At 36.5% G+C, this 24,371-nt stretch overlaps 1 protein-coding gene across 5 annotated transcripts in view, besides 1 other annotated feature; it reads left to right on the top strand.

Moving 5' to 3' along the window:
• Nucleotides 1-24,371, top strand: part of TRPM7 (transient receptor potential cation channel subfamily M member 7) — a 129,640-nt gene that overhangs the window by 92,890 nt on the left and 12,379 nt on the right. For 4 of the 5 annotated variants that reach the window (NR_149154.2, NR_149152.2, NR_149153.2 and 1 more), the window contains 14 exons: nt 159-291; nt 1,282-1,997; nt 4,252-4,316; nt 7,420-7,516; nt 10,749-10,819; nt 13,000-13,034; nt 15,244-15,269; nt 17,989-18,039; nt 18,119-18,184; nt 18,773-19,056; nt 19,189-19,271; nt 19,429-19,634; nt 23,753-23,804; nt 23,915-24,021. Coding sequence is in view for 2 of the 5 variants with exons in the window: in NM_017672.6 (NP_060142.3) it covers nt 159-291; nt 1,282-1,997; nt 4,252-4,316; nt 7,420-7,516; nt 10,749-10,819; nt 13,000-13,034; nt 15,244-15,269; nt 17,989-18,039; nt 18,119-18,184; nt 18,773-19,056; nt 19,189-19,271; nt 19,429-19,634; nt 23,753-23,804; nt 23,915-24,021 (1,992 nt within the window). In the remaining 3 variants the exon portion in view is untranslated. The remainder of the gene's footprint in view (nt 1-158; nt 292-1,281; nt 1,998-4,251; nt 4,317-7,419; nt 7,517-10,748; nt 10,820-12,999; nt 13,035-15,243; nt 15,270-17,988; nt 18,040-18,118; nt 18,185-18,772; nt 19,057-19,188; nt 19,272-19,428; nt 19,635-23,752; nt 23,805-23,914; nt 24,022-24,371) is intronic. The other variant, NM_001301212.2, reaches the window with a different exon arrangement.
• Nucleotides 556-1,755: an enhancer, noted in NCBI's record as "BRD4-independent group 4 enhancer chr15:50884350-50885549 (GRCh37/hg19 assembly coordinates)". NCBI's record gives its function as "activates an origin of replication core promoter dependent on BRD2, P300/CBP, MED14 and CDK7 cofactors, and independent of BRD4, by STARR-seq in HCT116 cells {active_cell/tissue: HCT116}" and the evidence as "EXISTENCE:reporter gene assay evidence [ECO:0000049][PMID:35650434]".

The following is a 24,371-nucleotide window of genomic DNA, read 5'->3' as shown; positions in this document are numbered from 1 at the left end:
GATAATTGTCTAGTGCTTTAGAAGCATAGTAGTAAAAGTTTAAAAAGTGCAGATGATGGATGTAGTCTTAGAAACCCTGAATAATTCGTAAGAATTATGAGCTAAAGTTGAAACCTTGATAGCTCTTCCTTGATTTTCTTCTCCTTTTCCTCCCATAGAACTTTTCTTAACAGAAGAAGATCAAAAGAAACTTCATGATTTTGAAGAGCAGTGTGTTGAAATGTATTTCAATGAAAAAGATGACAAATTTCATTCTGGGAGTGAAGAGAGAATTCGTGTCACTTTTGAAAGGTTCAGAAGCCCTTTAGTTAAAATCGGTTATATGTCAAAATGGGATCTATTCGTTATATTTCTTATACATGGTCATTGTTAAATTTATTTTGTCAAACAATAAGCATAGTTACAGTTTTACATGATGTATTGGAAAGATCGTTCAGTTCTATTAATACTTCATATAAGTCAGTTGGTCAGTCTCTTATTTTTTTACCCTAGTTACAGAAGATAGAAGAGTTTACTGTTCTTTACTGTTTGGAGGGAGAAAAGTAAAACTGTCCTCACTATTTTACAGCATTTTTTATTATCATCATTATTATTATTATTTATTTTATTTTTATTTTTTTGAGACAGAGTCTCCTCTTTTGCCCCGGCTGGAGTACAGTGGCACAATCTCCACTCACTGCAACTTCCGCCTCCCAGGTTCAAGTGATTCTCCTGCCTCAGTTTCCTGAGTAGCTAGGATTACCGGCGTGCACCACCACACCCAGCTGATTTTTATATTTTTAGTAGAGACAGGGTTTCAACATGTTGGCCAAGCTGGTCTCGAACTCCTGACCTCGTGATCTGCCCGCCTCAGCCTCCCAAAGTTCTGGGATTACAGACGTGAGCCACTGTGCCTGGCCAGCATTTCTTTTTTTCTGTTGGCTTCACTACATTCTGGAAGCATATGGTGTTTGGTAACAGTTACAGTAACAGTAATGGTAGTTCTGTATATATGTAGCTGTATATACATTATTTTGTGTTACTTTGATGTGGGGTAATTGGAATAAGTAGCCTGTGGAACAAAAACGTTTTTTGAAATCTTGCATTTTAATATAAGATTAGCACTGGATCCTTCTTAAACATAAGGTAGGCCTTGTATAATTAAATAACTGTACCTTATTTTATATCTTGTTTAAATGCATGTGAAATTTTTCTCTTTTTATCATTATTATTTGAGGCTACAAAATAAAATTCTACATTATTTTTTCACATTTGTAAAAAAAGCTTATTTCTCTCCTACAGAGTGGAACAGATGTGCATTCAGATTAAAGAAGTTGGAGATCGTGTCAACTACATAAAAAGATCATTACAATCATTAGATTCTCAAATTGGCCATTTGCAAGATCTTTCAGCCCTGACGGTAGATACATTAAAAACACTCACTGCCCAGAAAGCGTCGGAAGCTAGCAAAGTTCATAATGAAATCACACGAGAACTGAGCATTTCCAAACACTTGGCTCAAAACCTTATTGATGATGGTCCTGTAAGACCTTCTGTATGGAAAAAGCATGGTGTTGTAAATACACTTAGCTCCTCTCTTCCTCAAGGTGATCTTGAAAGTAATAATCCTTTTCATTGTAATATTTTAATGAAAGATGACAAAGATCCCCAGTGTAATATATTTGGTCAAGACTTACCTGCAGTACCCCAGAGAAAAGAATTTAATTTTCCAGAGGCTGGTTCCTCTTCTGGTGCCTTATTCCCAAGTGCTGTTTCCCCTCCAGAACTGCGACAGAGACTACATGGGGTAGAACTCTTAAAAATATTTAATAAAAATCAAAAATTAGGCAGTTCATCTACTAGCATACCACATCTGTCATCCCCACCAACCAAATTTTTTGTTAGTACACCATCTCAGCCAAGTTGCAAAAGCCACTTGGAAACTGGAACCAAAGATCAAGAAACTGTTTGCTCTAAAGCTACAGAAGGAGATAATACAGAATTTGGAGCATTTGTAGGTAAGTTTGGCAAATTCGTATTTGTATATCAATATTATTTACTTTTCACCTTAGAAATAATAGAAATATGTACTGTTACAAGTCATTATCTTTTCATAGAGTATAATTATAAAATTTTTAAAAAGAATCAGACACCTGTGATTCTGGTACTTTGGGAGGCTGAGTGGGGAGGATTGCTTGAGCCCAGGAGTTGAGGACCAGCCTGAGCAACATAGCAAGACCCCATCTCTACAAAAAATTTTTGGAAGTAGCCAGGCGCAGTGGCATGTGCCTGAAGTCCCAGCTACTCAGGAGGCTGAGGCAGGCGAACTGCTTGCACCCAGAAGCTGAAAGCTGCAGTGGGCTGTGATCACACAACTGCACCATAGCCTGTGTGACAGAATGAGACCCTGTCTCTAGAAATGAAATGAAAAAAAAAAAAAAATCAGAAGTAGGGGAAATAGACTGAATTAGGCTATAAGAGTTATATTGGCACATAACCTCTTTGATGGAATTTTAGGTTCTGTCTTTTGAATTTGAATATCTTCAATTGGGTTTCATCAACTCTTGTTGAAAACCTAAGTGATTCTTAAGTACTTGGAGAACCTCATAGGGGAGGTTAGAATCAACTGGAAAAGAACAGTGCCCTATAAATAGATGACCATATAATTTTTTTACCCAAACCAAGACACTTTAAAAGTGAAAGGGTGCACTATTAATAATTATATCAGAACAACAATGGAAATCTAGGAATCTACTGGGAAAATTAGTACTTATGGTGTACCTATTTATATATTCACAGAGAACATTTCAAAAAGGAATGACTTATTCTTATACCTATGATAGCTTAAATAAGATAAGAACAAAAAAAAATGTTTATTTTGGCAGTAACACATTAAAGACCTTAGTGAAAACTTTCATGCATAGAGATTATTCAGACAGTATGTTAATAAGCCCATGGAAAATTGCCACATTAAGGCCAGCCTAGGAAGTTATCTAGGCACTAAACATGTTGATATTACTTCTAGGCTATATGGGATTCACTCTAGATACATAGATATAACTTTTCCTACGTTAAATATATTCCCCCTTTTTTTTTTTTTTTTAAAAGACGGAGTCTCCCTCTGTCGCCCAGGCGGGAGTGCAGTGGCACAATCTCGGCTCGCTGCAACCTCTGCCTCCCAGATTCAAGTGATTCTCCTGCCTCAGCCTCCTGAGTAGCTGAGATTACAGGCACACGCCACCACACCTGGCTAATTTCCAATTTATTTTTAAAAATGCATTTTAGCCTATTTGTTAATGTATTACCAGTGGGGTGTATGTATATATCATATATATTTTCTCTACATGTATATTATATAGGAAAAGTTACATATCTGTATATCTAGAGTGAATTCCATATAGCCTAGCAGTAAGTATCAGCATGTTCAGTGCCTGAATAACTTGCTAGACTGGTCTTAATGTGGAGATTATACATGGGCTTATTAACATGTTGTCTGAACAATCTCTATGTGTGGAACAGTTTTCATTAAGGTCATTAAAGTGTTATTGCCAAAATATTTTTGTTCTGTTTTTGTTTAAGTTATAGGCATAAGAATAAATCATTCCTTTTTGAGTGATTATCCGTATATATGTAATGCTTTTTTTTTTATTAATAGTAAAAATGCTTGGTCCCCTTTTTTCTTTTAAATTTCGAGCTATTTATTCATATCACATGTTGGTTTGTTTTATAAGGACTTTGGCTTTTAACGTTACTGTAAACTTAACTATAATCTTGGCCAGGTGCGGTGGCTCAGGCCTGTAATCCCAGCACTTTGGGAGGCCAAGACAGGCAGATCTTGAGTTCAGGAGTTCAAGACCAGCCTGGCTAACATGGTGAAACCCTGTCTCTACTAAAAATACAAAAATTAGTCAGGCATGGTGGCACGTGCCTGTAGTCCCAGCTACTCAGGAGGCTGAGGCAGGAGAATTGCTTGAACCCGGGAGGCAGAGGTTGAAGTGAGCCAAGGTCACACCACTGCACTCCAGCCTGGGCAACAGAACGAGACTTGTTCTCAAATTTAAAAAAACAAAAAACAAAAAAAACTGTAACCTTCACCAGCTTCTTGGCAATTTTCAATTTTATTTATCAAAAGAGCTAAAGGAGACTGCAGAGCCATCAAGTGTACTTGAAAAACAGCATAAACCTATTGTTTTTATAAACTTTAAGCAGTGCCATTATTTCGGTGAAGAAAAATAAAAATTTCTCATTGCAACATCTTTTTTTCTATTAAAGGACACAGAGATAGCATGGATTTACAGAGGTTTAAAGAAACATCAAACAAGATAAAAATACTATCCGTAAGTAAATCCTTATTAAAACACCCACAGTTCTATTTATTTTACTGTCTTGATGTTTAGTTCAAAATTTAATTAAACATTTTTTCAGCAAAAATACAGTTTTAGCAGATATCATTAACATGCTGATACCAAATATTTGAAGCTGTCCTCAGTTTGAAAAAATGAACAATTGAGGAACATGAAAAGGTACAAACAGCTTGCGTAATTATACTCACTAAATAAAAAACATCAGCTATTTAACATTTCTCTCTTTTTTTTTTTTTTTTTTTTTTGAGACGGAGTCTCGCTGTCACCTGGGCTGGAGTACAGTGGTGTGATCTCCGCTTACTGCAACCTCCACCTCCCGGGTTCAAGTGATTCTCCTGCCTCAGCCTCTTGAGTAGCTGGGATTACAGGTGCGCATCACCATGCCTGGCTAATTTCTGTATTTTTAGTAGAGATGAGGTTTTACCATGTTGTCCAGGCTGGCCTCAAATTCCTGACCTCAAGCGATCCGCCTGCCTCGGCTTCCCAAGGTGCTGGGATTATAGGCGTGAGCCACTGTGCCCGGCCTACATTTCTTTTTTAAAAATTTCTTCTCCCCATATGTTTTCCACTGATTAAATACTTAATGAGCTCACTCTTCCCAGATCCAAAAGTTTTATTTGAACATGACCCTGACTCTTAGAAACCTATTGTCTAGCAGTGAGAAGCTGTATATTATGTACAAGTGCAAGATAATTTGATAAATGTTTGTTAAATAAGTTTCAAAATATGTAGAACAGCTGGCAAAAAAGGTGTATTCTTGCCTGCAAAGTTGGTTTTATTTCTTAAATGTTGCTCTCATATATTACTTGTGGCTATTTAGAGCCTTTGGAGTGGTAATGTGGCTACAACAAGATAATTAAAAACACCTAGAAAGGTGTTAAGCTTCTCTAGCCCTTAAAGAACTTACATTATAGAAATGTTAAGTGACATACACAGTGAAAACAGGACCTTTCCTAAAGCTAGAACCAAGGAAATGATAATGACGTAGGAGTTTCTATGAATGATTACTTTTTATGTGATCCAGGTGAATTATGTAATTGCTGTCAGGCCATATTACTTACTACCCTACATATAAAAAGTAGACTCAAATGCATTTTTATATTGTAACATTTTGTATTTTTATTATCATATTTTGATTAAAGTATTGTACTAAATCAATTAACTTAATTTAATATCTATTAACTAGATATTGATAACTTGGTATTTAATTGGTTATTATATGCAAATTGAGGTGTAATGATTACCTGGGTTTTTTCCTTTCTGTATTTGCCTTTAAGTTTGAGAATAGTTGCATAATTTTCTTACCTCAAATAGGAGCAGCAGAATGATGTAAGAAATGTGATTATGGAGTATACAGAGATGCCTAAATATGAGGTAAAGTCTCTTTAGTATATGCAGAAGTCAGAAAGTCAGCTTAAAATATACCCATGTGCTTTTAGATGGAGGAAATAGGTGTAGGTTCAGCGGACCTATCATAAGACTATAATTTGCAGTGTTTTCTAACCATTTTAATTATGGCATATTTAGACTGAGAGCTAAATAAATGGATCAAGTTCACTTAGGTAGCCTTAGCTGACACACGATAAAAAGAGAAAGAAGAAAAGCGGGAATGAGAAAAAGTGCTAGAAAGAAGAAAGAACAGACTGCTGTCTACCAAATTGGTTTTATAATTATTGCCATATGACATATGGAATATCTGTATTCCATATAGGGTTGAAGTAGATTTTATAGGTAAATGAAATGTTTTATGGACTTTCATAAGTTTTAGTAAAGCTGTTTATAATGTAGAATTATTTAAACCTAAGTTCATCACATTTTCTTTTTCTTTACACAAATTATTGTCATATTGCCACACTCTGGTGGTATCATTTTGCTATTGCGAAGCACTTGATAGAAGTAAGACATAAAATTTAGGATAAATGGACATTTCTTAATGGGAAAAGGTAAAGCATCAGAGTTTTCCCACAGATTTCACCTTTTTAATAATGAACTTAAAGAAAAAACGTGCTGAAAATTTTTAAGTGGCAGGTACTCCTTGATAAAAACAAGACATTGCAAGTTTCTGTGAGTTAGCAGAAAAGCAGTAGCTGTGTTTTGATTTAAACAACTTTTTTTTTGAGATGGAGCAAGACTCCATCTCAAAAAAAAAAAAAAAAAAAGCAGTATTTATTGAGCCAGTAAAGCCTTCAGGGCTTTCCAAACACATAAATAATAGAAAAATATTAAGGGAAAATGTAGAGATTTAAGTACCTAAAAAACATAGTCAAAAGAAATTTGAAATACAAATTGAAATCTGACAAAATAGTGAGCATATAGATAACCTTGTTGTATAAATAGCTCATACAAAGCAATAAGAAAGTTACCAAGATCCCCAAAAGGAAATAGTTCCCCCACCATTAATGTTATCAGTGTGTCAAGATACATGTAAGATAATAGCTTCTTTGGGGGTGAGGTGAATTCATAATGATTGCGTTTTTTCTCCACAGTTTTGTATATTTTTCCAACTTTTTTGTGAGGTTTTTTGTTTTCTTTTGTTTTTGTTTTTTTCTTGAGACGGAGTCTCGTTCTGCCAGCAGGCTGGAGTGCAGTGGCTTGATCTTGGCTCACTGCACCCTACGCCTCCCGGGTTCAAGTGATTCTCCTGCCTCAGCCTCCTGAGTAGCTGGGACTACAGGCATGCGCCACCACAACCAGCTGATTTTGTATTTTTAGTAGAGATGGGGTTTCACCATGTTGGCCAAGATGGTCTCGATCTCTTGACATCATGATCCGCCCGCCTCGACCTCCCAAAGTGCTGGGATTACAGGTGTGAGTCACCATGCCCAGTCTGAGTTTTTATTATTATAAAAAATTCATTTGGATGGATTTATGAACAGTAGGAAAATAAGGTGTTTTGGTGCAGCTTTTGAAATTGGCATTGAAGAAAATAACCATAATCTATAATACACCCATTGGTGTCCAGGTAGAATAAAGCATATTGAGCTAAATAGATCAAGGGACTCTAATACTACTTAGAGTAATGGGTTGAAATTTAGTTCAATTATTTTCAAATTATATGTCTGCACAATATTTGCAGAATAACAATACTTCTGAAAACACTTTGAAACGAGTGAGTTCTCTTGCTGGATTTACTGACTGTCACAGAACTTCCATTCCTGTTCATTCAAAACAAGGTGAGTATTTTGACCATATGAATAGTGTCAGAAAACATACTCATTTACACTTTAAATGTATTTTATGTTTGTCAAACACATGAGCAGTGAATGGTGCAGGAGTCAGAAGACGAAAATTCTGATCTGCCATAGTGACTGTAACCTTGAATAAGTCGTAATCCTAGCATTCATTAGAATGTTTTATTAGAATATGTTTTACAAATTGTTTATTCTGTAAAGATGGAATAGAAAAACTTTTTGTAAATCTGCTGCTTTTAGCTTTTGCAAATGTATCTGTTCATCTGTATCATGTTTTAATCTGTATCATCACTTATTCAACATATTTTTCTAGTTTAACTTTTAAAAATCATACATTTTTGGTTCAAAATTAAAATACACACACTCTGAAAATTTTCTCTCTCACTCTGTTCCCACATTTACCACTATTTGTCTACCCTTTAGAGTTTCATGCTTATACAGTCATGTATGACAGTACAATCTTATACCTCTCATTTTTTACACAAAAGGTCACAGACAATACATGTTGCCTTGTACCATTAATTTCTCATTTACTATATTGTGGTGATGTTTCCATATCATAATTTTTTATAAGTCAAGATTATATATGCACATCGTTGAAAAGTTGAATAATTATAAAGGTTCCTTAAGAAAAATAGTACTACATTGTCCATCTCACCATCACTTTCATTTTCCTTTGGCATACTGAATTCAGCAATGCATATTATGACCAAATTGGGTTTATTCCAGGAATAAAAGTTGTCTTAACATTCAAAAATATAATTGTGATAATGCATGATAGTAGCAGATTAAAGGAGAAAAATCATGAGATCATCTTAACAGCTGATTTGGTTAACATTCAGTATTCATTCTTAATCTCAAAAAGGATATCAACAAAAAATTATCACAAAGCATCAAACTTCATAGTGAACTATTGAAAGCCCAAGATGGGGAGCAAGACAAGGATTTTGACTGTTACTGTTTCTGTTTTACATTCTAGCCAGAGCAGTAAAGCAAGTAAAATAAATGGTAGAGTGGGCCAGGTGGCTTACGCCTGTAATCCTAGCACTTTGGGAGGCCGAGGCAGGTGGATCACCTGAGGTCAGGAGTTCAAGACCATCCTGGTTAACAAGGTGAAACCCCGTCTCTACTAAAAATACAAAAAATTAGCCGGGCGCGGTGGCGGGCGCCTGTAGTCCCAGCTACTCGGGAGGCTGAGGCAGGAGAATGGCGTGAACCCGGGAAGCGGAGCTTGCAGTGAGCCGAGATTGCGCCACTGCAGTCTGCAGTCCGGCCTGGGCGACAGAGCGAGACTCCGTCTCAAAAAAAAAAAAAAAAAAAAAATACAAAAATTAGCTAGATGTGGTGGCGCACGTCTGTAATCCCAGCTACTCGGGAGGCTGAGGAAGAAGAATCGCTTGAACCCAGGAGATGGAGGTTGCAGTGAGCCAAGATAGCGCGACTGCACTCCAGCCTGTGCAATGGGAATGGGAGCGAGACTCCATCTCAAACAAAAAAGAAAAAGAGAAAGAAATGGTAGAAGGATTAGGAGGGAAGAAAAAGAATTCTCAGTATTTAAGTTAACATAGATGTTATTCCTAAGTTAGTATGCTTATATGGATTGAACATCCCAAAATCTAAAATGCTCCTAAATCCAAAATTTTTGAGTACTGACTGAAAGGAAATGCTCATTGGAGCGTTTCAGATTTCAGATTTTCAGATGCTCACCTGGGTGAGTATAATGCAAATATTCCAAAATTTAAAAAAAAAAAAAAAAACAGAAATCTGAAACACTTCTGATCCCAAGCATTTCTAGTAAGTGATCACTAGAAATACTCAAACCTACCTGTATTGCAGCATCCTCATATTTCAGTTTTAGGCCGTATCTGTTGACCTTCCACTAAAGAAGACAAGAATTGAACTCTCTTTTCTCACTCTGTATTCCCAGAACGAACATACACACACACACCTGTTCACCCTTTTCCACCAAGTATAGTTACAGTTTTGGTTAAATCAACACTCTAGGTTCTCTGGTATTTAACCAGATTTCTTCATGATATTCAGAATATAATGTATTCTGTCAGTTTCATCATATTGAAAACATTTTGCCCAGAGTCTTCTAATATATCTCAGTCTGGTCTTTTTGTCCTCTACACCTGGAATACAAATTTTGTTCTGAGATTTTCCTTTCTTCATTCTGAGGTTATCCTTTGTTGTACTGTAAAATTGTAAGCTTTCTCTAAGTTGATTTGTAACTTAATGACCTGACTTTTTTTGGAAGTAGGCTTAATTCTAAAGTTCATTTCGGATAAATAAGATATGACAACAAAGGTATTATCATAAATTGGGGAAAAGGATTATTCATTGCGGCACTGTTTATCATAGGAAGAGATTGGAAACAGATCAAATTTCCATCAGTAGGAGTTTGTTTAAATACATTAATGTGTATCCAATATGAAATAAAGAGAGCATCGAAAGATAATTGGGAAATCTTCTCTGTTCTGTAGAAAATCTCTAAGCTGGCTAGGCGCAGTGGCTCACACCTGTAATCCCAGTACTTTGGGAGGTTGAGGCGGGTGGATCACCTGAGGTCAGGAGTTTGAGACCAGCCTGAACAACAAGGAGAAACCCAGTCTCTACTGAAAACAAAATTAGCCGGGCATGGTGGCACATGCCTGTAATGCCAGCTACTAGGGAGGCTGAGGCAGGAGAATCGCTTGAACTCAGGAGGCAGAGGTTGTGGTGAGCTGAGATTGTGCCACTGCTCTCCAGCCTGGGCAACAAGAGTGAAACTCTGTCTCAAAAAAAAAAAAACAAAACTCTAAGCTTAAAGTTTAAAATAACAAAACCCTCCAGACATATATGTTTCTCTACCATTTATGTTAAATATTGGCGGGGGTATGTGTATACACATACAAATATCCCAGGAAGAATATGCAAGAAATGAATTACCTTTACTGTCCCCAGTCAGGGTGATTGGGAACAGGAGGGGGAGAAATTTTTTTTTACTTCATACTCTCATTTATTGTTGCCTTTTCACAATAAATTGAATAGTTTACTCAAAATAAATTGAATAATTTATGGGCCTCATGTAACTCTTGTGTTCAGCGTGTTGAGGAAAGGTTGAGTTATCTTATGAAGGTTATACTGTGCCTAGAATACTTTGTGTTTGGTTAGTTGGTATTCATAAAACTTCAGTTGTGTAGCTTTTTTATATTTTTTAATTTTCTTTTAGCAGAAAAAATCAGTAGAAGGCCATCTACCGAAGACACTCATGAAGTAGATTCCAAAGCAGCTTTAATACCGGTTTGTAGATTTCAACTAAACAGATATATATTATTAAATACATTAAACTTTTTTAGATAAGATCTACAAAGTGGTGATATTTGGGACTATATCAAAAATTCAAAAAAATTTTTCTTAAGAAAACTGACTTTAGCATAGTAGCAGTTACAGAAAAGTTTCTTACAGTGAATAGTCAGGAATTTTAAAGAAAAATTTATGCAGAATAAAGGCAGGAATCTCTTTTTGTTTGAATTGAAGCTAATTATATGAACTCATTTCCAGCTAACTGCGATAATGATTGATTTTGCAAATTCCCTTTAAAAGCACACACTGACAAGACAAAAAGCTCAGGAAAAGGCAGAAAAATTACTCCTTTATAATCAAGTATTATATATAAGTCAGTGCTCATAATTTTGCTCAAGAAAATATTGACTTACATTCAAAATATATCTGTTCTGGCATAGAGAGATTATGTTGTTAAAATCATGTTATTGAAAAAAGTTATTTCAGTGGGGAAAGAGGTTAGTTAACAAAGAGATTCACAGTAACAAATCCTCCTTTCTGGAGGGACTCTTCCTGACCCTGAGCTGCACAACTTTGCAACAAATTAAAGCCTAACCGAAGATGACCTCACAATGGCAATTTAGAACTCATGGGAGTCAACTTACATAAACGGTATTTGATTTCTGATAAGATAGTGGAATTATTGGTTATAGATGACAAAATAAGTATGTTTAAAGTGATGATGGACATAAAAAAGTTTTAAATATAAAACATGAGAAAAGAAGGAGATACTATTCAAAAAGACTGGCAAATTTGAAAAACTAGAAATAAAAAAAAAACTCGGTGGGGGCTGTGTGCAGTGGCTCATGCCTGTAATCCCAGCATTTTGGGAGGCCGAAGCGGGTGGATCACTTGAGATCAGGAGTTCAAGCAGCCTGGCCAACCTGACAAAACCCTGTCTCTACTAAAAATCAAAACTTATCTGGGTGTGGTGGCACATGCCTGTAATTCAGCTACTCGGGAGGCTGAAGCAGGAGAGTCTCCTGAACCAGGGAGGTGGAGGTTGCAGTGAGCCGAGATTGCGCCACTGCACTCCAGCCTGGGCTTCAGAGTGAAACTCCATCTCAAAAAAACCCCACTCAGTGGGAGTTAATTAACAGATTAGGCACATCTGAAGGGAAAATTACTAAACTGGATCAGAATGCAACAGATTAAAGTAAAAAAAAAAAGATAAACTACATAGTCAGATGGAAAATATATTAAAGGTAAAGAGACATGGAAGACATATCTAACTGGCCTTGAGAGAGTAGACAAAATTTGAAGAGATTAGAAATGGTTTAGAATTTTACAAAATGATAAAATATGTGAAGATTCAAATTCGGGCAGAATGAGTCTCAAACTGGGGAAGTAAAAATAAACCCACACCTAGGAACATTATACAACTGCAGAATAAAAACCATATGCACATATACACAACAAAGGCTGCAGTGAAATATGCCTAAATGTCATGAGCATTCACAGCTTACATGATTTTAATTTTTCTGTTTGTATTTTGATGTTTATATGTATATGTATATATACATATATATATTTATTATTTTTTTTTTCGAGATGGAGTCTCGCTCTGTCGCCTAGGCTGGAGTGCAATGGCACGATCTTGGCTCACTGCAACCTCCACCTCCCAGATTCAAGTGATTCTCCTGCCTCAGCCTCCCAAGTAGCTGGGATTATAGGCGCCCGCCACCACGCCCAGCTAATTTTTGTATTTTTAGTAGAGACGAGGTTTCACCAGATTGGCCAGGCTGGTCTCGAACTCCTGACCTCAGGTGATCCACCCACCTCGGCCTCCCAAAGTGCTGGGATTATAGGTGTGAGCCACCGTACCCGGCCACAAATATATATTTTAAGAGAATAGAATTGTCTTCAAACAATATAAAAATTCATAAAGAATAGAAAGACAATGTTGTGGGAAATAACAGAATTTTTTATTCCACCTTGTTGAATAGTCTTATGGTAGTTACATTTACAGTAAATACAGTTATAATAAATAAATTTATTGTTTTATGAAACAAGAACTGTATGTTAGTTTTTTGGCCTTTCATTCTTAAAATATAAGAAAAAAAGTTAAACCGTTATGCTTCATCTAGAGATTTTTGTCTTTAAGGTTTTTGTGTGTGTGTGTTTTTTTTTTACTGAAGGATTGGTTACAAGATAGACCATCAAACAGAGAAATGTAAGTAAGCTTTTTCTTACCATTAGCTTGCGAAGTATCATAGTTATTGAATGTTGTCTTTTTTCCTGCTCTTTACATCATCTCTTTAACATTTCTTTATGAGTGATGATTATTTATTCTAGCATCTCCTCTCTTCACATAGATGAGATTAGGGGAACAAGTTTATTATGAATTAATATAAAAGTTAAAATTTATTATTTTCATATAGTTGTACCATAATTACAACTCTACTAAGGTCTTCCTAATAGTGATACAATTCTGATTTTATTATTTAGTCCTGTTTCTAACTTATTCCTGAATAAATTTGTTGAGAGACCTAGTTTGAGACTTTAGTTTTGTACTTGCTTGATTTCTCTATCCATCATTCTAGTCAAAACCTTGCATCTGCTTTTGGTAAGCACTTTGATGATTAGAGCAGTAATACACAGTATGCATTAGAAAGCCTGCATACAGGAAGATCCACTAGAAAGCTGATGTGGTAATCCAAAACCAAAAGTGGAAACTATAGGCAATCTGACAGGTTATTGTCCCCAGAAAGTAAAACTTTTTAGTACATATTAGACATAAGGGTAAAGACAAATCTAAGATAATCTCTGTGTTTCCATCCTAGGAATTAGTATTGTAGAATTCCAAAGGATATGCAAAAAAATAAAAAAAAAAGTCTTGTTTTGACACCCACCTGATACTGGAAGCATGGTAGAGTTATTCTGTCATATGGATTACTTGAGCAGAGAAGCCAATTTGGGGGAAATTATTATTCTGCAGTGTTTTTCCCCTTCTGTGAATCAGAAATAAATCTGGGCCAGGCATGGTGCTTCACACCTGTGATCCCAGCACTTTGGGAGGCCAAGGTGGGTGGATCGCTTGAGCCCAGGTGTTGGGGACCAGCCTGAGAAACATAGTGAGACCCCATCTCTAAATTAGCTGGGTATAGTGGTGTGCGCTTGTGGTCCTAGCTACTCAGGAGGCTTGAGGCAGAAGGATTGTTTGAGCGCAGGAGTAGTGAGCCATGATTGCACCACTTCACTCCAGCCTGGGCAACAGCGAGACCTAGTCTCAAAACAAATAATTTTTTTTAAAAAAGAAAATAAATAAATCTGAATATATAAAGAAGAAAATAAACCTGGGCCACAGGATAAGCAGCTGCTCAAATTGAGTTTCCTGACCCTGGAATGGCATTTGGAAGGCCCACCTATAGTCAGACCTCTTCAAGGAATATTTTCTTTTATAACCAAAGCCATGGGATGTAAGTACAAAATAGGCACTTCAAGTTGGTGTTAATTCCGGTGTCTAACAACAGAACATTGTCTTGCAGAATGCTGACCCTGAGAATTACCCATAAAGGTGGAGCTGATTGGCAGCCCTTTGAGTGCTGAGAAAAGAGTGATTGATTAGCAGCAGGCAAAGGAATGATGTTAGGTTCAAAATACTTTTTGTAAGAAAATGTTTCTATTAAGGTGAAAATCAACAGGAAACAACAGGGTCAGATAGAATGTAGGAGCTGGAAAGAGACAGGTTATCTACTCCCAAGGTCCTTTCTGGATCTGGTCCTTTCATTCCTGAGCAAGGCTACATAGCTGTGTAATGAAAGTGCTAAGCCTCTAACCCGTTTTCCTTTATTCTCATTCTGTTCTCTTTTCCACTCTACCTGTGTGTCTAGTTGACACTGGAATCCTTGGAAGTAAAAGAACCTGCATTTGGTGCCAGTGTATGTTGTTATAAATAAATACAGTTAACATTGGGAGAAATATTTTTCAACATTAGAAACTAAGAGGCAAAATGACATCTACTTACTTTTCTCTCAGTTCTTTGTCCATCAATTCTATTGAAATATTTCTAGCATCCTGCAAAGTCATCTCAATGTATTGTTACAGTACTGGAATGAATCTCCACGAATACAGAAGTTATGAAATAGTTTATTAGTATAGAGCCTTCAATTTGGCACCAAACTGCTAATAATATTTATGCATAAATTGGAGATACAAGTTATTAATAAGTAGATACATATGGATATATATATATAGATATATATATCTATATATGGATTGGGATTGGCTTAAGGGAAATGGCAAATATTCAAAGGGAATCAATTTCAGAATTTCCTTAATAATATTTTTTATATAATAATTGTATAAAATCAAAAAATTAAATGATAGCCAAAACTTAAATCATAGCACAGCTTATACTATATTTTTTGGTGTTTCTTTAGGCCATCTGAAGAAGGAACATTAAATGGTGAGTCTGTGTGGTAGATTGAACGTGAAAAAAATGAGAATCTTACATGATCTGTTACAGCAAACACCACATTATTCTAGGTAAGATATTTTAGACTTCAAGCTAGAAAAAGCCAAGGTATTGAAGAGTTCTTCCCTCATATACTTTCTCCTTACTGTAGATGTTTCACAAACACACGAATCACCCTGTGAATGATGATATCTTTACTGTCACACTTCCTCCCTGCTACTTGGTCTCTGCTATACAGCCTGCTCCTTTTCTAATATTCCATCTGTTTTAACAAATGAAACTTTTAGTCAGCTGAGTTATTCTTGACCACCTTGACTTTGTACTCACAAAGTCCTATTGCATTTACTTCCTACATGTCTCTAAAATCCATCCTCCACTATACATCCCACTGCTGCTTTCAGCTTAGACCATTACTTTGTCAACCTTTTATCGAAGTGTATAGTGCATACAGAATAGTGCAGAATTCAGTGAATTCTTTCAAAGTAAGTATAGCCATGTAATCAGCACCTAAAAACAATTTTGCCTATATCTCCATTCCTTTGTTTCTACTTCTTATAGTCCCTGCCCCTAAAACAATAGTTTCACCTATTTTGGGGTGTATGTGCGTGTGTGAGTGTTTGCATGTATGTGCATATTGGCTATATAAATGAAATTGTACAGTATATACTGTTCTGTGTCTTGCTTCTTCTTCTTAACATATTGTTATAAAATTCATCAATATTGCTGTGGATAGTGGTAATTTGTGCATTCTCACTACTATATAAAATTTTCTTATGTAAATATATTGAATTTACTTCCATTCTGCTATTTGGTGGTCATTTCAGTAGCTTCCACTGTATGGCTATTATGACTTGCTGCTACAAGCATTCTTGTTCATGTTGTTTGATAAACATATGTATTTATTTATTATTGGCATATGCCTAGGAGTGGAATTGCTGAGTCAGAGTTAGCATGTGTTCACATTTGGTAATTACTACCAAATAGGTTTTCAGAGTGGTTATACCAGTTTGGGGTCCCTGCCTGTAGTTTTGCTTCTCATCAATGTTCTATTCTGCCACCCTTCCCTGCCCCCGGGTGAGAAGGAGTCTTGCTCTGTCGTCCAGGCTGGAGTAGGGAGTATAGTGGTGTGATCTTGGCTCACTGCAACCTCCGCCTCCCAGGTTCAAGCAGTTCTCCTGCCTCAGCCTCCCGAGTAGCTGGGATTACAGGCATGCACCACCACATCCGGCTAATTTCTGTGTTTCTGTAGAGACGAGATTTCACCACGTTGGCCAGGCTGGTCTCTAACTCCTGACCTCATGATCTGCCCACCTCCACCTCCCAAAGTGCTGAGATTACAGGCGAGAGCCACCGCACCTGGCCTGATTTTTCTAAAGGTCACTCCTCCACTTTACATTTTTTCCCCATTGTTGTTTAATGAAATCCAGTGTTCTTCCTTAACATGACATATTAGGCTTTTAATTACCCCCCCACACACACTTTAGGCTCTTAATTCCACGCCTCCCGCCCCCTCCCCTGCCAAAGACAGGATCTCTCTGTCACCAGGTTGGAGTGCAGTGGCACAGACTTTGCTCACTGCAGCCTCAACCTCCTAGGCTCAAGCATTCCTCCCACCTCTGCCTTCTGAGTGGCTAGGACTACAGGTGGGTGCCACCTTGCTCAGCTAATTTTAAAAATCTTTTTTGTTGATAATGGGGCCTTGCCATGTTATCCAGGCTGGTCTTGAACTCCTGGCCCCAAAGCAGTCTTTCCACCTCAGCCTCCCAAAGTGTTAATGATGATAGGTGTGAGCCACTGTGCCTGGCCTCCTCTTAACAATTTGATATTCCCTGTTTCTGTAGCTTCACCTCCTGCAGTTATCCCTGTACTCTTGCCCATTAATTTGTAGTCTTAGCTGCATATTCAAATCATTTGTAGAGAATCATTTCTATGATGACACATACCTACAGAATTAGAATATTTTGGAGTGACATCTGGGTGGATGTATGTCCAAAAAGCACTATAGGTCAATCTTCCCCCTTCTCTTACTCTGAGATAGCTTTGACGTCTTCTCAACCAAAAGGCATTAGGTACTCCTATATAGTCGTACAGTATGTGCACACATGTATGTGTATATACACATTTTTAAAGTATATTTTTATACAGTATTAAAACTGTTGGCTAACTTCCTTTTCCTGCAAGACAGTAGGTTTCTTTTTATTTGTGTTCTAGAAACTTAGCACATAGCAGATTTGACTTGTCTTTGTCTTCTTGCAACATTTAAAGGTCAATTCCACACACACACACAAAAAGATGGGGGAAGGGCTTTTGATGGGTATGTTTCACATTCCAGAAGTTCATCTTCTCATGGTAGACCTGCTAAAATATTTACATGGCTACAGTCCCCAACCCCCAAACATCAGAATCAAAGAGAGATTTTTCTTTCTGAATGGGAGGTATGGGAGGAGTGAGTTTATGGCAGGAGTTAGGATAGTGTGCAGCATAATGTGCTCTTCACTTGTAGGTGTCTAAATGCACAGCTGTCACTAATCTGGCATAATGAAATAGGGTAATATAGCACAGTGGACATATTTTATCCCTAATTTTTCTGTTTTTGTGAGGAACAGTTACACTATGGAAATTCAAAATGATTTTATGAGATTATCCGGGTTAAAATTTTTGCTGTACTAGTACTTTTTAAATGGTCTCGTTTGTTTATTTGCCATTCTAGGTCTCACTTCTCCATTTAAGCCAGCTATGGATACAAATTACTATTATTCAGGTCAGTAATATTAAAAACAAAATTTAATAGCATTTTGGACCTTTACAGATTTAATTATTTCTCTCTCATTTTTATGCAGCTGTGGAAAGAAATAACTTGATGAGGTTATCACAGAGCATTCCATTTACACCTGTGCCTCCAAGAGGTAAATCCAAAAATTAAAGAAATAAATAAGTGAAAATTAACCCTTTAATGATTTTTAGCTATAATATAGAATGTGGGTGGGATTACATTAAGAAGTATCAATTTCAAATAAATTCTTGATTAATCTGACTACCACAAGGGTGAGGTATGTTTGAATAGAAGAAGGGAAGCATCAGAAATATTGAGTTTCTCCATTACTGGCATATTCAGAAGCAACAATATATTCTAATTCTAAAAAGTTCTTGATCCACTATCTAGTAATTTATATAAACTGACATCACAGTGTCCATGAAACAGCTCTAACTTCTAAGTTTAATTCAGAAGTGTGTAGAATTTTAGTTGCTTTTTTAAAGGTTTTCTCTAAAATGCCAGAATTTCAAAAATGCCTAACATTACACATGAATTCAAAGATATTATGAAAGTATCCTTGATTTCTTACCTATTGCTATTAAATTTCTTTGTATAAAACTACATCTTGGTCCATTTTATCTTCTGTTCCTTAATCAAAGATGCCTGCTAATTTTTATTTTACTTTGTCGTTTTTAAAAAGTCACAATTTAATCTTAAACTTTTTCCATTTGTGTTGCAGGGGAGCCTGTCACAGTGTATCGTTTGGAAGAGAGTTCACCCAACATACTAAATAACAGCATGTCTTCTTGGTCACAACTAGGCCTCTGTGCCAAAATAGAGTTTTTAAGCAAAGAGGAGATGGGAGGAGGTTTACGAAGAGCTGTCAAAGTACAGTGTACCTGGTCAGAACATGATATCCTCAAATCAGGGCATCTTTATATTATCAAATCTTTTCTTCCAGAGGTGGTTAATACATGGTCAAGTATTTACAAAGAAGATACAGTTCTGCATCTCTGTCTGAGAGTAAGTGTCAGTGAATATTTAATAGTGGAACATAATTTAAGCTTTATATTTTAACTTCTGAAATATCAATAAGCCAAATATAATCTTAGTTTAAATATTAAACAAGGGTTCTCCCCACCCTCCCTTTTATAGGAAATTCAACAACAGAGAGCAGCACAAAAGCTTACGTTTGCCTTTAATCAAATGAAACCCAAATCCATACCATATTCTCCAAGGTAAATCTTTAATTTTTTTCTGGGATCTTTTATTATATGGATAGCAGTCCCTTTTGACCTTCATTTTTGATGTTGAATATTTAATTATCCATTTTGTAGATCAATTAGAATTTTATTAACAAAACTGCTAGTAATATTTATAACTATTTTTTATAAGGTTCCTTGAAGTTTTCCTGCTGTATTGCCATTCAGCAGGACAGTGGTTTGCTGTGGAAGAATGTATGACTGGAGAATTTAGAAAATACAACAATAATAATGGAGATGAGATTATTCCAACTAATACTCTGGAAGAGATCATGCTAGCCTTTAGCCACTGGACTTACGAATATACAAGAGGGGAGTTACTGGTACTTGATTTGCAAGGTAAATTTATTAAAATATTGCTAAGGTGAAATTCTGCAGTAGGTTCTCACCTATTCATATGTTATACAGAATCTGCTAATTTATAGATAAATAAAATCTTAGGCCAATAGAAGCTATAAAAAAGCAAGTTAATCACAGTCATAGCATATAGCCATCAGGGCCTTGAGTAATAGAATCTGGCTATCTTTTTTTGTTCCCCCGCCCCCTCCCCCACCCCCAGAGGGAGTCTTGCTCAGTCACCCAGGCTGGAGTGTAGTGGTGCAATCTCAGCTCACTGCAACTTCCGCCTCCCGGATTCAAGCAATTCTCTTGCCTCAGCCTCCCGAGTAGTTGGGATTACAGGCACCTGCCACCACGCCCAGCTAATTTTTGTATTTTTAGTAGACAAGGTTTCACCATGTTGGCCAGGCTGGTCTTGAGCTTCTGACCTTGTGATCTGCCCGCCTCAGCCTCCCAAAGTGCTGGGATTACAGGAGTGAGCCACCACACCCGGCCTGGCTATCTAAATTATGGTTAAGATAATACAGATGTTTTGATAAGCAAAAACATGTAAAAATTCCCTATTCTAAGATATGCAGTCTAGTATTTCAAAAGTATAAAGACCGTTTCTTTAAAAATAACAAATACCTCTATTGTTCCTGGTGTTTATGTTAACCTGTTATTGTGAACTAAACTACCTAAAAATTTAGTGGATTTAAAACAACTGCCATTTTATTTCCTTATAGTTCTTTCATTCAGAAATTTGGATGGGACATAGTGGGAATGTCTCTCTCTGCTGTCACCTCAAAAGACTGGAATGGCTGGAGACATTGAACAGCTTGACTGGAGTCAAATGTCTGAGGTCTCTGTTCACTGTCAACTAAATTCCTCAGTTCTTCAGTGTTCTCTGTCTACATGGCTAGCTAGCTTGGGCTTGCTCACAGCATGGTAGTTTCAGGTATTTAGACTTCTTACATAGCAGCTGGCTTCTTCTAGAGAGAAAGCAGAACCTCTTAAGGCTAGGCCCAGGATTGAGATGCCTTCTGCCACATTTTACTGATCAAGGCAACTTACAAGGGTAGCCCACATTCAAGGGGAGGCGAAGTAGATTCAGCAGTTGATGGGTAGAACGATATGCATCTATAGAGGGAAAAATTGCTCATAGCCATCTTAGCAGATAGACTGTGTTTCATACATATAAAAGAAAAAAGACTTTCATATATATGAAAGAAAAAAAAGAAATGGTGACTGCAAGAGGGCAGGTTTGCTTGGAGTAATGTCTGCTGAGCTTCACAGTGAGTCAAAGGAAGTTAAATTGAGCAAGTTGCCAGCTCTTCTCTTCATTATGGCTTCCATAATTTTTCTCCCTGAAGAGCAGACTTAATTTCAAATGTAAACACAGACCAGATTTTAAATCACATGAGAACAATTGTTTAGAATGTTTATTACTCAGTGACTCTTTAGTGTACAGGTATAAATATAAAAGATTTGTTGAAAAGCAAACAGGTTTCAGCTCAAGAATGAAAATCTATGTAAAAACAACTATACTTTTTTCAGTAGTTCATACCTTTATAAAAATGATTATGGTGGTGTATGTTGTGAAAAACTCTCTGATGTCCATTATGAGTTAGGCCAATCCAGTTAAGTTTAAAAATTACAAGCATACATTAGAGATACTGCAGGCTCAGTTCCAGACTACTGCAACGAAGCAAATATTGCAATAAAGCATATCACATGAATTTTTTGGATTTGCAGTACATATAAAAGTTAAATTTACACTATACTGTAGTCTAAAGTGTGTGATAGCATTGTGTATGAAGAACAGTGTACATACCTTAATTTAAAAATACCTTATTGTTAAAAAATAGTAAGAATTATCTAAGCCTTCATCAAGTTGTAGTCTTTTTCCTGGTGAAGGATCTGGCCTCCATGTTGATGACTGCTAACTGATAGTTGCTGAAGTTTGCGATGACTGCAGCAATTTCTTTTTCTTTCTTTTTTAAAAAATAGAGGCAGGGTCTCTTTCTGTTGCCCAGGCTGGAGTGCAGTAGCTCAATCACAACTCACTGCAACCTCAAACTCCTTCGGCTCAAGCCATCCTCCTGCCTCAGCCTCCTGCATAGCTGGGACTACAGGCTCACGTCACTGCATGCAGCTAATTTTTAAAAATTTTTGTAGAGATGGGTGTCTAACTAGGTGGGTCAGGCTAGTCTTGAACTCCTGGCCTCAAGCAGTCCTCCCACAGTGCTAGGATTACGGGCATGAGCCACTCTCTGGCCACAGTGAAGTTTGCCACATGGATTGATTCTTCCTTTCATGAAGGACTTCTGTAGCACGCAGTGCCATTTGATAACATTTTACCCACAGTGGAACTTCTTTCAAAATTGGAGTGAACCTTCTCAAACCCTGCTGCTTTATCAACAAAGTTTATGTATATTCTAAATCCCTTGTGATTTGAACAATGTTCACGGTATCTTCACCGAGTAGATTCCATCTCAACATAATGTTTATTGAACAATTTTTACATAGGAATATCTTAGATGATTACAAGTTAAACAATGTAGCAATATATAAAGAACAAAGTGTTCCCATCTTTTTTATTTCTCTACTTCTGTGAAGACATATACACAAACGGAGACTTTTTTCCCTCTTTTTTATTATTTTGTTTTGTTGTGTTGGTTTTACCCCAACTGGGATCATGAGATTTTTTTTTTTCCACTTTTTTTTTCTGCCTAACGATATATCATAGGCATTTTCTAGAGTTATTTCTTTAGTAAGCTGCGTGATAGTCTATAGTGTAGCAGCTATAGCATGATTTACATCTGTGTTGATAAACATTCACTCTACTTTTAGTTTTTTGCTTCTACAAACAGTGCTTGCAGCAAACCATTCTCATGCACTGCTACTTTTATTTCCTTAAAGTAAGTTCCTAAATTGGTGTAGAAAAGAGATTAGTACAATTTTAATTTTAATAACAACTGCCAGAGTACTTTCCCAAAAGCTTATCAGAAATCATACTCAGCCTTCTACGGAAGTTCCTGCTTCTCTACAGTCTTTCCAGTATGGAATATTCTTAATGTTTGCCATTCTGTTGGATGGAAAATAGTATCGTGTTTTAATTCTGGTTTTTCCTTTTGTGAAATTGAACCATTTTATTAGATTTTGCTCTAATGGGTTAAATATTTGTGATTATTCAAAATATCAGTAGGTGTTAAGTGTGTGTGTGTATGTGTTTATATATACACACATGAATATGTAAGAGACTGGAAGGATTTAATCATAATACTTCTGGAGAGGGCTGGAGGTGAAGAAAGATTTTCACAATCTTACTCTGTGTTACATGAATGTTTTGCAAGAAAATGTGATATGTGTTAATGTGTGTGGTTTTTTTCCCTTAAATCCCAAACACTTGTTTTTTGTTTTTGTTTTTGTTTTTTTTTTGAGACGAATTTCACTCTGTTGCCCAGGCTAGAGTGCAGTAGTACGATTTTGGCTCACTGCAACCTCCGCCTCCCAGGTTCAAGCGATTCTCCCGTCTCAGCCTCCCGAAAGTAGCTGGGACTACAGGCGCCCCCCACCATGTCCGGCTAACTTTTTTTTTTTTTTTTTTTTTTTTTAGGAATGAAGTTTCACCATGTTGGTCAGGCTGGTCTCGAACTCCTGACCTCAGGTGATCCATCCGCCTTGGCCGCCCAAAGTGCTGGGATTACAGGCGTGAGCCACTGCGCCTGGCCAATCCCAAACACTTTTAAAGTCCTATGGATTATTCCTTCATGTACCAAATTGTTCTTTGCTAACTAAGATGAAACAAGGGCAGATTGACCAGACCTTTTACAAGTAAGGAGGTATTTGCATCCTTGGTGCTGTAGGATAAGGAACTTAATGCCTACCTACCAACTCTGACGTTTAACTCTTGTTCACATTACAAGGAGATATGCCTCTCCCTGGTAGAATGCCAGAGTCATAAATCAAGTTATGAAATATCAAAAGAGAAGAACTACACTCCTTTGAATAGTTTAACATTGTAATGATTGATGATACTATAACATCTCTTAAGATGATTTTTATTATGCAGATGTCAGTATTTATGTCAATTATATAATATAAATTATTTGTCTTTTTTATATACACATATAAAGGTGTTGGTGAAAATTTGACTGACCCATCTGTGATAAAAGCAGAAGAAAAGAGGTAATAAGTTTTAACTATTTCATTAAGGCATAATTTCACATTTTATATTTGTACCTGTATAAACTGCCCCCTTTTTTTTGTTGTTTTTTTTAAAATTACCAATTCTACAGATCCTGTGATATGGTTTTTGGCCCAGCAAATCTAGGAGAAGATGCAATTAAAAACTTCAGAGCAAAACATCACTGTAATTCTTGCTGTAGAAAGCTTAAACTTCCAGGTAAAAAATTTCTTAATCAGTATAGTATATAAATTGTTACGAAACTTGGTTACTACAATACCTCATAAGGCCAGAGGTACAAATGTTTAATGTAATGGTCTCTAATTGTGCCAGCTTCAGCAGCTCTTTTGCAAATACATATTGTTGGTTATAAATGAATCTGTGTTTTCCTTCTTTCTTTATACAAAGTTCATTAATTTAATATATTATGTGTCTGCAGAATGCCAGGAATTGTGCTCAGTGTTGAAAGTAGAATATTGAACCAGACAGCTATGTCTCTGCCCTCATGGAGTTTAGCCTCATGTTGAATATTGACAAGATTAGCAGGGAGTTACAGGACTGATAAATGC

This window comes from Homo sapiens, chromosome 15 (assembly GCF_000001405.40).
Source record: "Homo sapiens chromosome 15, GRCh38.p14 Primary Assembly".
Taxonomy (NCBI): Eukaryota; Metazoa; Chordata; class Mammalia; order Primates; family Hominidae; genus Homo; species Homo sapiens.
The sequence above is the reverse complement of the archived record's forward strand: the minus strand, read 5'-3'. Positions and strand labels throughout refer to the sequence as shown.